Raw genomic sequence first — 13221 nt, 5'->3', positions numbered from 1 at the left:
TTTCAATATATGAATTTGGGGAGGACACAAACATTTGGACTGTAGCAACAAATAATTAAATTTTAAAATGAGCAGATGATTTGAATAGTCACTTCTCCAAGGAAGATATACAAATAGTCAATAAATAAGAACAAACACTCAAGCTTGTCAGTAACTAGGAAAATGCAAATCAAAACTGCAATGAGATACCACTTCATGCATATTAGTATGGCTGTAATAACAAAAAGTCACACAATAGCAGTAAGTGTTGGAGAGGATGTAGAGAAATTGGAGTGTTCATATTTTGTCACTGAGCTACTTTTGCTGGTGGAAAACAATATGACAATTTTCAAAAAGTTAAATATAAAGTTATTATTTGATCCATCAACTCCACTCCTATATATATACCCCAGAAAAAGGAAAACATATGTCTACACAAAAGCTTATATATGAATGTTCATATCAGCATTAATAGTAGCCAAAAGGTGAAAACAACCCAATGTCCCTAAACTGGTGAATTGACAACAAAATGTGTTAAAGTGTTTGTATAACTACACAATGTAATATTATTTAGCCATGAAAGGAATGGAGTACTGATTTGTTTTATTTCTGATTTTAGTAATTTGAGTCTTTCTCATGTCTATTCTCTCCTCTCTCTTTCTCTCTCTCTCTCTCTCTCTCTCTCTCACACACACACATACACACACACACATCAGTCTAAGTAAAGATTTGTCAATTTTATTTTTTCAAATAACCAAACTTTGGCCTTGTTGATTTTCTGTATTGCTTTTCTCTTCTCCATTTTATTAATTTCTACTCTATTCTGGTTTTTTAAGGTAGAAACTTAGGTTACTGATTTGAGACTTTCCTTATTTTTTTATTTCAATGGTTTTAGGGTAACAAGTAGTATTTGGTTACATGGATAAGTTATTTAGTTGTGATTTCTGAGATTTCAGTGCACCCACCACCCATGCAGTGTACACTGCACCAATGTAGTTCTACTTTTAGTTCCTTAAAACTATCCATCATCTCCCTTCCACCCTTCCCCCTCAAGTCCCCAGAGTTCATTGTATCATTCTTCACCCTTTGCATCCTCATAGCTTAGCTCTCACTTATGAGTGAGAACACATGATGTTTGGTTTTCCATTCCCGAGTTACTTCACAAAGAATAATGGTCTTTCATTGGTTGTTGGGCACTCGTGCTGGTTCCATATTTTTTCAATTGCAAATTGTTCTGCTATAAATATGTGCGTGCAAGTGTCTTTTTCATATAATAACTTCTTTTACTCTGGGTAGATACCCAGTGGTGGGATTGCTGGATCAAATGGTAGTTCTACTTTTAGTTTCTTAAATCATCTCCATACTGTTTCCCATAGTGATTGTACTAGTTTACATTCCCACCAGTAATGTAAAAATGTTTCTTTTTCACCACATCCATGCATGTATCTGTGAATAGAGTAGTTTTTCTTTTTCCTTTCCAATCTGGATGTGTTTTGTTTCATTTGCTTCCCTAATTGCCCTGGCTAGAATCCCCACTACAATAAACAGCAATGGTGAGAACAGACATCTCTGTCTTGTTCCTGATGTTTGCATTCAGTCTTTCACCATTAAGTATGATGTTAGCTGTCAGGTTATATAGATGTCTTCTCACAGGTAGAGAAAATTCCCTTCTATCTATAATGTGTGAGTGTTTTTATTATGAGAGGGAGTTGGATTTTATAAAATGTATTTATATATCTCTTGATATATTTCAAAGTGGAGCCTATACAGTTTCTTGATGATACTGTGTGAATGAGAGGAGTAAAAAATGACTCAAAGGTATTTTGTCTGAGAAATTGGAAGGATGATGTTGCCATTTAATAAAATGAAGAGTGAGGGACAAGGATTAAGAGAAAGAACAAGAGATCAGTTTTGTATATGTTAAGTTTGGGATAAGCATTAGATATTTACATAGAGATATTGAGTAGGCAATTGGACATATGACTCTCAATTTCAGGAAAGTCATCAGGGTTCAATATGTACATTTGAAGTTCATCAGTGTACAGGTGGTATTTAAAATCATAACCTAGGAAGTGAGTGTAGATAGAGAAGCAAAAAGTTCATGATCACTTCTCTAGTGGCCCAATAGCCCTCACTGCCAAGGCCCTAAGATTTCTGAAGTCTGAGCTTTATTCCTGAATTCAGTGGAGATTCACTAGAGACCACTGTGGGGGAAAAGGAAAAGGCCCTACCTTGTCTTCAACCAAAGAAGCTCCTCCATCATATTGAGCTTACTTGACTGATGCAAGTTTAGAGATTGCTGCCCTAGATTATGTTCTTTACAAGAGCAATATGTTTAGCTGGGTTTGGGCCTTGCCTTTAAGACTTTTAGGTGGATTTGAGTTTATGAAAAATTTTTGCACTTGACCTTTTCTGGGGCCAGGACCCAGTAATCCTGGAGATTCAACCATGTATGTGTCTCCTCTGCAGTCACTAGATAAACCTTGAGCTCCTGGTGAAAATGCAGGACAACAGTATGTTCTAGGTAGGAGATTTTTTGATAAAGGAAAGCTTCCAACACACTTAGTGGGCTTGAACATTTGTACAATGGTTCTTGCTACCTGGAATGTGTACCTCTTTCTAGCTTAACTTCTGGAAGGCCTGGAGCTGCCTGAGATTGCAGAAGTTTGACCTCAAATGCATAGTGAGGTAGGAAAAGAAGGGAAAGGACAGCAGGATAAAGGTGAGAACACAAACGGGAAGGCCCTTACAGCAAGTCTGGGAAGAAAAATAGAGACATATGTTGGCTGCTACACCACTACCCTCTTCAGCCCACCATAGTCTCAGCAAGGTTGTAATGTATTCCTCTTTTTGCCTCCATGGATAGTACCAAGATTCCAGTGAAGAGGAATTTCAGGGTTTACTGTAGATTTTCATTGATGTACTTCCATATGGACTAGAAGGATCTCTGGATTTGAAAGAAGGGCATTCCGATTTCTATTTCTTTTCTATCTGCTCACATGCTCTGGCCACAGGCTAAAATACATGGCACAATGAAGTTTTCAGAAAAGCTTTTTCTTGACTGAGTATATTGAATACTTTTTAGTCAACATGGACACTGGCAGGGTGAGCTGAAGAGCTCACAACAATGTGGATGGCAAAATGTTTAAAGGCCAGCCATGTGCAGAGCTCTATGATAGACACTGTGGTAAGTACAAGCATAAAAAAGACATGACCCTAGTTTCCAAATAGCACAGAACCAAGTGAAAGTTAACAGATACCTGAATCACTTTAACACAGAGGAGATGGGGCATGTATAATAAGACAAATATATATGCTGTGGGAGAAAGAGCAAGCTAGGCTCATTTCTAGTTGAGAAATCAGATTGCCTCCTAAAGGAAGTAGCATTTTAATCAAGCTGTGAAATCTTTATCATTATCATTATTGTCAGTATTATTGCTAGTATTATTGCTACACCAGAGGAGATCAGAACTCTGCTCCCTAAAGTCCCACCCCACAGGAAAATATAGTCAGACCTGGGCAAGGACAAAATGAATCTATGAAGCTGCCAGGAACAGGCAGGATCTGTTCCTGGCAGTACCAGGGATTTATTTCTTTGGCCAGGGTTGGCTCACATTAAAATTGGCGACATTCCTCTGTGTAGACTTCTAAAATAGTCTATGACCCCGTGGCCACTGCCCCATGTTCTCTTTGCCTTTTTATCCTGGCCCTCTTACATAAAGAGGAGATACTTGGCCTTGAACATATATGTCAGGAGCCTGAGAGGTATCAGTTGGGTTCTTCCATGGCCAAAACACATATATACCACAAAGAGGGAGCAAGGCATAAGGTGTATAAGGAAGGAGTTATCCCTGTGGGCTGAAGTGAAGTGGAAATTAAACCAATTACAAATCCAATGGCCAAAGTGTTAGTTTTAACCAACCATAGCTCTTGTGCCTTGGCTCTGGAAATCACATTTGTACAGAAATAGAAAAAGGATCTAGAGCTTTTAGGATGAGTCAAGTGATGAGAAAACCTTCCCTGGCTTTGGAGAGAAAAAATCATATCCAGAAGGAATAGAACCACCTTACACAAATGCAGATTTTGTCCTGGTCCTCAAAAGATGAACCGTGGCAGCAAGAGAGGTTAAAGGAGACAGCCATTTACAACTAGTAAGGGAGGCTTAAAAATCAATGATCACTTTGAAAGGCCAAGGCTGGAGAATCACCTGAGGCTAGGAGTTCAAGATTAGCCTGGGAACCATAACAAGGCCTTGTCTCTTAAAAAAAAAAATTCAGGTTTAATTCAGGAATAATTTATCATCGGAAATCCTCACTTAAGGAGCTGGAGTTTTGGCCTTGGCTGGTCTTTCCCCTACTTTATTCTTCAGTTTAGCAATGCCCTGCATTTCCTCTCCCATTAATTTTTTAGCTTTCTCTTTTGTATTTACTTATTAAGTTTTATTTTAAGTTAAGATGTTCATGTGCAGGTTTGTTAACTTAGGTAAACTTCTGGCATGAGGGTTTGTTGTACAGATTATTTCATCACCCAAGTGTTAGGCATAATACCCATTAGTTATTTTCCCTGATCCTCTCTCTCATCTCAGCCTCCACCCTCAAGTAGGCCAAATGTGTGTTGTTTCCCTCTGTGTCCATGTGTTCTCATCATTTAGCTCCCACTTATAAGTGAGAAATGTGGTATTTGGTTTTCTGTTCCTGCATTAGGTTACTAAGGATAATGGCCTCCAGCTCCATACATGTCCCTGCAAAGGACATAATCTTGTTCTTTTTTATGGCTGCATAGTATTCCATTGTGTATATGTACCACATTTTCAATTTCAATCTATCACTGGTGGCCATTTAAGTTGGTTCTATATCTTTGCTATTGTGAGCAGTGCTGCAATGAACATAGGCATGCATGTATCTTCATAATAGAACAATCTGTATTCCTTTGGTTTGGTATATACCCAGTAATGGGATTGCTGGGTCAAATGGTACTTCTGCCTTTGGTCTTTGAGGAATCGCCACACTGTCTTCCACGATGGTTGAACTAATTTACACTCCCATCAACAGGGTTTAAGCATTCATTTTTCTCCAAAACCTCACCAGCATCTGTTATGCTTTGCCTTTATAGTAATAGCCGTTCTGACTAGTGTGAGATAGCATCTCATTGTGGTTTTGAGTTGCATTTCTCTAATGATCAGGGGTGTTGAGCTTTTTTCATATGATTGGTGGCCACATGTGTGTCTTCTTTTGAAAAGTGTCTGTTCATGTCCACTGACCACTTTTTAATGGGGTTGTTTGGGTTTCTTTTTTATGTGTGTAAATTTGCTTAAGTTCCTTATAGATGCTAGATATTGGACCTTTGTCAAATGTAGAGTTTGCAAAAATTTTCTCTCATTCTGTAGGTCATCTGTTTACTCTGTTGATACTATCTTTTGCTGTGTTGAAGCTCTTTAGTTGAATTAGATCCCATTTGTTAATTTTTGCTTTTGTTGAAATTGATTTTGGCATCTTTGTCATGAAATCTTTGCCTGTGCCTATATGCTGAATGGTATTACCTAAGTTGACTTTTAGGGTTTTTATGGTTTGGTGTTTTACATTTAAGTCTTTAATCTGTCTTGAGTTAATTTTTGAATATGGTATAAAAAAGGGGTCCAGTTTCAATCTTCTGCATATGGCTAACCAGTTATCTCAGCACCATTTATTGAATAAGTAATCCTTTCCACATTGCTTGTTTTTGTCAGGTTTGTCAAAGATCAGATAGCTGTTGGAGTGTGGTCTTACTTCTGGGCTCTCTATTCTCTTCCTCTAATCTACATGTCTGTTTTTGCCCCTGTACCATGCTCTGTTTGTTTCTGTAGCTCTGTAGTATAGTTTGAAGTCAGGTAACAAAATGCCTCCAGCTTTGTTCTTTTTGCTTAGGATTGCCTTGGCTATTCAGGATCTTTCTTGGTTCCATATGAATTTTACAATAGTTTTTTTCTAGTTCTCTGAATAATCTTAATAGTAGCTCAACAGGAATAGCATTTAATCTGTAAACTGATTTGGGCAGTATGGGTATTTTAACGATATTAATTCTTCCTATTCACGAGCATGGAATGCTTTTTTCCATTTGTTTGTATGATCTCTAATTTCTTAGGGCAGTGATTTCTTTGAGTAGTTCTCCTTTTAGAGTTCTTTCACCTCCCCAGTTAGCTGTATTCCCAGGTATTTTATTATTTTTGTGGTAATTGTGAATAGGAGTTCATTCCTAGTTTGGTTCTCAGCTTGACTGCTGTTGGTATATAGGAATACTAGTGATTTTTTCACATTGATTTTGTTTTCTGAGACTGCTGAAGTTGATTATCAGCTTAACAAGCTTTTGAGCTGAGACTATGGGGTTTTGTAGATACAGGATTATGGATTATGTCATCTGCAAATAGGGATAGTTTGACTTCCTCTCTTCCTACTTGGATGGGCTTTATTTCTTTCTCTTGCCTGATTGCCCTGGCCAGGACTTCAAATACTATGTTGAATAGGAGTGGTGAGAGAGATCATCTTTGTCTTGTACGGACTTTTAAGGGGAATGCTTTTAACTTTTGCCCTTTCAGTATTATGTTGGCTGTGGGTTTGCCATATATAACTCTTATTATTTTAAGGAATGTTCCTTCAACACCTAGTTTATTGAGAGTTTTCTTTTAACATGAATGGACATTGAATTTTTATTGAAAGCCTTTTCTGCATCTATTGGGATAATCATGTGCTTTTTGTCTTTAGTTCTGTTTATGTGATGAATCACATTTCTTGATTTGTGTATGTTTAACCAACCTTGCATAAGGTTGATAACCATGAGAAAGTTTACTTGCTTGTGGTGGATAAGCTTTTTGATGTGCTGCTGGATTTGATTTGCCAGTATTTTCTTGAGAATTTTTACATTGATGTTCATCAAGGATATTGGCCTGAAGTTTTTGTTTTTGTTGTTGTATCTCTGCCAGGTATCAGGATGATGCTGGTCTCATAGAATGAGTTAGGAAGAAGTCTCTCCTTCCAAATTTTTGGAGTAGTTTCAGTAGGAATGGTAGCAGCTCTTTTTTGTAAATCTGGTAGAATTCAACTGTGAGTCTGTCTGGTCTTGGATTTTTTTTGGTTTGTAAGCTATTTATTACTGCCTCAATTTCAGAGCTCATTATTGTTCTGTTCAGGGATTCAGTTTCTTCCTGTTTTTGTCTTAGGAGTATGTATGTATCCAGGAATTTATCAATTTCTCCTTGATTTTGTAGTTTATGTGTATAGAGGTGTTCATAGTATACTTTGATGATTGATGGTATTTCTTTGAAAATTTATTATTGTTTTTCCCCACATTCTTGCTGTCATTTTGTTCTCACCCATTAATCCAGGCTATTTTATAGTTACCTGCACTCTCTTGACTCAAAATCCTTTGCTTTCATGTTTCCCAAATTCACTGATTCACAGGCCGTGATGTATATAAGATTATCTCAGAAGTTATTTCTTTTTTTTAGTATTATACTTTAAGTTTTAGGGTACATGTGCACAACATGCAGGTTAGTTACATATGTATACATGTGCAATGTTGGTGGGCTGCACCCATTAACTCATCGTCATTTAACATTAGGTATATCTCCTAATGCTATCCCTCCCCCCTTCCCCCACCCGACAACAGGCCCAAGTGTGTGATGTTCCCCTTCCTGTGTCCATGTGTTTACATTGTTCAATTCCCACCTATGAGTGAGAACATGCGGTGTTTGGTTTTTTTGTCCTTGTGAAAGTTTGCTGAGAATGATGGTTCCCAGCTTCATCCATGTCCCTACAAAGGACATGAACTCATCATTTTTTATGGCTGCATAGTATTCCGACAGAATGGGAGAAAATTTTTGCAATCTACTCATCTGACAAAGGGCCAATATCCAGAATCTACAATGAACTCAAACAAATTTACAAGAAAAAAAAAACCCATCAAAAAGTGGGCAAAAGATATGAACAGACACTTCTCAAAAGAAGACATTTATGCAGCCAAAAGACACATGAGAAAATGCTCATCATCACTGGCCATCAGAGAAATGCAAATCAAAACCACAATGAGATACCATCTCACACCAGTTAGAATGGCGATCATTAAAAAGTCAGGAAACAACAGGTGCTTGAGAGGATGTGGAGAAATAGGAACACTTTTACACTGTTGGTGGGACTGTAAACTAGTTCAACCCTTGTGGAAGTCAGTGTGGCGATTCCTCAGGGATCTAGAACTAGATATACCATTTGACCCAGCAATCCCATTACTGGGTATATACCCAAAGGTTTATAAATCATGCTGCTATAAAGACACATACACACATATGTTTATTGTGGCACTATTCACAATAGCAAAGACTTGGAACCAACCCAAATATCCAACAATGATAGACTGGATTAAGAAGTTATTTCTTAAGCTGGGTGGTTAGTATATGAGTTTCTAATATTCTAATATCTATGTACTTTTATGTGGTAAAAATTATTTTTATATAAGAAAACAAATGGAGTTTGTTAAACATGCAGATTCCCCAGATCCATTTTCCCAAAGGTTCTGATTCAATAGGTGATTCTGGTACTGGTGATCCACAGTCCACACTTGAAGAGACAATACTCTTGTGGGTTGGCCTAAGTAGTTTCCTTGGGTGCCACATTTTTGAGAAAGCCCATCTGGAAACTGCATATATTGCATAGGCAGGTGCTGATTATGTCAGAAAAAGCCAAATGTCCCCAAGATAAAGATAAGATTATTGGTTCAGATATCTGTAACTAACATATCTGCACTGATGATCAAAGATCTGTCAGTGCATGCCTTTTTTTTTCACTCCTCATAATAGTCCTGTTGTTTGCCATGAGAAAAACATTGTGAAGGTGCTGAACTGGGAGAAGATTATAAAATTAAAATGTTGCAATGGGAGGTTTTCCCTTTTTTTACTTGATCAATATATTCTCATTTTGTTATGTTTCAGATGTAAAATTACCTGCTTCTATTATCCAAGTAAGGCCAATGCTGTTTTTTTTAATTCTATGATTCAGATTTACCTTGACTCTTGGACCTCAAGGAGGATCCAACTATTAAGCATGTGTTTCAGAGAGAATGGGGTAAATGAATGGAAGGAGGTGGGAGGTCACAGAGGCTGTAGCAAGACACAGCAAATCTTGTTAGTTAACATCTTATGAGGCAAGTTGATATCTGACAAATTCAATTGGACTTGCATGAAAAGGTGTTCCAGAAATCCTAAGCAGATGACAGATTTCAAACACTTCAAATCAAATTTTGCCTAGAAAGTTGTCTATTATCAATGTGAGGATGCTTGCTCACAAGAAAATGTGTAGATCCTGTCTATAGACAGTCCACACTCATTTTAGGGTGAGGAGACAGGACATGGGAAGAAGAGAATATGGAAGAATAATATATTGAAATATTGTAAACTAGGAAAATAAAATGTTTTAGAGCTTTTAAAAGGTATTGAAAAAAAGGGGGGCACTTTGGAGAAGTGGAGAAGGCCTACATGGAAGGATCAGCAAAGCAAATTTCTAAGTTTTGTTAGAATACAGACATGTTTCAGATACTATTTTTCAAGAGAAAAGGAAAACTACATGCATGGAGGGTTCTAACCTCTCAAGGATGTGGAAATCTTAATACCACAGTTAACCTTTTGTTAGGAGAATTCTTCCAATTGAGTTTGCAGATCACATGTACACCCTCTGGACAGTGCTCTTGGATGGCCTGATATACTTAGAGAAGCAGAAACCATGAAGTTCTAGTGATTTTCTTTTTCTTTTTTCTGTTTTCTTTTTTTTTTTTTCCTGATTACCTCCTTGCCTCATTTCCCAAGTTACACTACATATCTGTCATGGTCTACAGCTGATAACAATGTAGATTTGGAGGGTGAAATAAGATTATAAACAGCTTCAGTAGATCAATTTGTTCTGGAAATTAATTTTAGTATGTTTTGATATGTTTATATTCTCTGATAGCTTGCTGGAGCCATTGAATACATGACACAACTGACACTTCATTTTGGAGTAGTCTGGGAGTTGTATATAACTTAGGGTGCCAGTTCAGCTACTGTAAAAAAAAAATATAGTGGCTTATGAGTGAAAGTTTTATCTCATGTAAATTTCTGAGAAAATGTAGTCCAGGGCTGACGTGTTGGCCCCATGGTATTGGAGATCATGTTGTTGTATCGTCTTCAACATGCTTTCGCACGTCATGGTTTAAGAAGGCTGCTCTAGCTCCTGCTTACACATCTTACACATCAGCTTTCCAGACTGTATTAGTCCATGTTCACACTGCTATAAATACCCGAGACTGGGTAATTTATAAAGAAAAGAGGTTTAATTGACTCACAATTCTACATGGCTGGGGAGGCATCAGGAAAGTTACAATCATGGTGGAAGGCAAAGAAGAAGCAAGGAGCTTCCTTACATGGTGGCAGGAGAGAAATGTGAGGAGCGAAGGGGGAAGGGGAAAAGCCCCTTATAAAACCATCAGATCTTGAGATAACTCACTCGCTATCATGAGAACTGCATGGGGGAAACCGCTACCATGACCCAACCATCTCCCACCGGGTCTCTTTCTCAACACCTGGGGATTACAATTCAAGATGGGATTTGAGTGGGGACACAAAGCCTAACCATATCACAGACATTAGGAAGAGGGAAAGTATAAGGAGTGGGCATATTCATCCTTTTAAAAATGCATCATAGAAGTTATACCCATCACTTTTACTCATATCCCCTTGGCTATAATTTAGTTGTGTAGCCACATTTAGCTACAGAGAGGTTGGGAGTGGCTGGATCAACTATGTGCAAACTAAAACTAAGTGATTCCATTAATAAGGAGAAAGCGGGATAATAAATATTGGATGACACATAGAAGTCTCTTCCATAGGAATAGCAAGCTCCAGTAACTACGTGGGCCAGGCAGGTAACCTGAAGGTAAAATAGGCCAAGGGTAATACTGGAGGGAATGGTGAAGACTGTGGAAAATTAGACAGTGCATGTCTTGTCTGAAGGGGGCAGCCTATATTCAGCCCAGACAATTGTTGCCATTTGAAAATTGGGCCCATGATCTTTCAGTTTTTCATGGGAAGCCAGGGATCTCTAAAACACCGTAAAAACACCTATGAAATGAATTTGGCTTTCTGACTACCTATTTTTCACCCCTGGGATAATCACTCATTAACTTGATCAGCACAATAAAACCTTGGGAGCTGAGCAACACAAATGAACAAACAATCTTTCTACCCCCTTGATACACATGTGGCCCATGGACCTTTTGCTGGGAGCTTGTTAAAAATGAAGAATTTCAACCCCTTCCCCCCAGGACCTATTGACTCAAAACCTGCTTTTCCACAAGATCCCCAGATGATTTGATTCCAGTGCATATTAAAAGTTTGAGAAGCACTGGCAAGGGGTGGCAAACTTTTTCTCTAAAGGGCCAAATAGTAAATATGTTAGGCTTTGTGAGTCATATAGTCTCTGTCACAACTATTTAATTCTACTGTTGAAGCTTAAAAGCAGTCATGGAATAATTTTCACATGTCACAAAATATGCTTCTTTTGACGTTTTTCCAGCCATTAAAAAAATTAAAATCATTCAGTATGATATTGGCTGTGGGTTTGTCATAGACAGCTCTTATTATTTTGAAATACATCCCATCAGTACCTAATTTATTGAGAGTTTTTAGCATGAAGGGTTGTTGAATTTTGTCAAAGGCTTTTTCTGCATCTATTGAGATAATCATGTGGTTTTTGTCTTTGGCTCTGTTTATATGCTGGATTACATTTATTGATTTGTGTATATTGAACCAGCCTTGCATCCCAGGGATGAAGCCCACTTGATCATGGTGGATAAGCTTTTTGATGTGCCGCTGGATTCAGTTTGCCAGTATTTTATTGAGGATTTTTGCATCAATGTTCATCAAGGATATTGGTCTAAAATTCTCTTTTTTGGTTGTGTCTCTGTCCGGCTTTGGTATCAGAATGATGCTGGCCTCATAAAATGAGTTAGGGAGGATTCCCTCTTTTTCTATTGATTGGAATAGTTTCAGAAGGAATGGTATCAGTTCCTCCTTGTACCTCTGGTAGAATTCGGCTGTGAATCCATCTGGTCCTGGACTCCTTTTGGTTGGTAAACTATTGATTATTGCCACAATTTCAGCTCCTGTTATTGGTCTATTCAGAGATTCAACTTCTTCCTGGTTTAGTCTTGGGAGAGTGGATGTGTCGAGGAATGTATCCATTTCTTCTAGATTTTCTAGTTTATTTGCATAGAGGTGTTTGTAGTATTCTCTGATGGTAGTTTGTATTTCTGTGGGATCGGTGGTGATATCCCCTTTATCATTTTTTATTGTGTCTATTTGATTCTTCTCTCTTTTTTTCTTTATTAGTCTTGCTAGCGGTCTATCAATTTTGTTGATCCTTTCAAAAACCCAGCTCCTGGATTCATTGATTTTTTGAAGGGTTTTTTGTGTCTCTATTTCCTTCAGTTCTGCTCTGATTTTAGTTATTTCTTGCCTTCTGCTAGCTTTTGAATGTGTTTGCTCTTGCTTTTCTAGTTCTTTTAATTGTGATGTTAGGGTGTCAATTTTGGATCTTTCCTGCTTTCTCTTGTGGGCATTTAGTGCTATAAATTTCCCTCTACACACTGCTTTGAATGTGTCCCAGAGATTCTGGTATGTTGTGTCTTTGTTCTCATTGGTTTCAAAGAACATCTTTATTTCTGCCTTCATTTCGGTATGTACCCAGTAGACATTCAGGAGCAGGTTGTTCAGTTTCCATGTAGTTGAGCGGCTTTGAGTGAGATTCTTAATCCTGAGTTCTAGTTTGATTGCACTGTAGTGTGAGAGACAGTTTGTTATAATTTCTGTTCTTTTACATTTGCTGAGGAGAGCTTTACTTCCAAGTATGTGGTCAATTTTTGAATAGGTGTGGTGTGGTGCTGAAAAAAATGTATATTCTGTTGATTTGGGGTGGAGAGTTCTGTAGATGTCTATTAGGTTCGCTTGTTGCAGAGCTGAGTTCAATTCCTGGGTAACCTTGTTGACTTTCTGTCTCGTTGATCTGTCTAATGTTGACAGTGGGGTGTTAAAGTCTCCCATTATTAATGTGTGGGAGTCTAAGTCTCTTTGTAGGTCACTCAGGACTTGCTTTATGAATCTTGGCGCTCCTGTATTGGGTGCATATATATTTGGGATAGTTAGCTCCTCTTGTTGAATTGATCCCTTTACCATTATGTAATGGCCTT

The sequence above is a fragment of the Homo sapiens genome, chromosome X (assembly GCF_000001405.40).
Source record: "Homo sapiens chromosome X, GRCh38.p14 Primary Assembly".
NCBI lineage: Eukaryota > Metazoa > Chordata > Mammalia > Primates > Hominidae > Homo > Homo sapiens.
Note: the sequence above shows the minus strand (reverse complement) of the source record.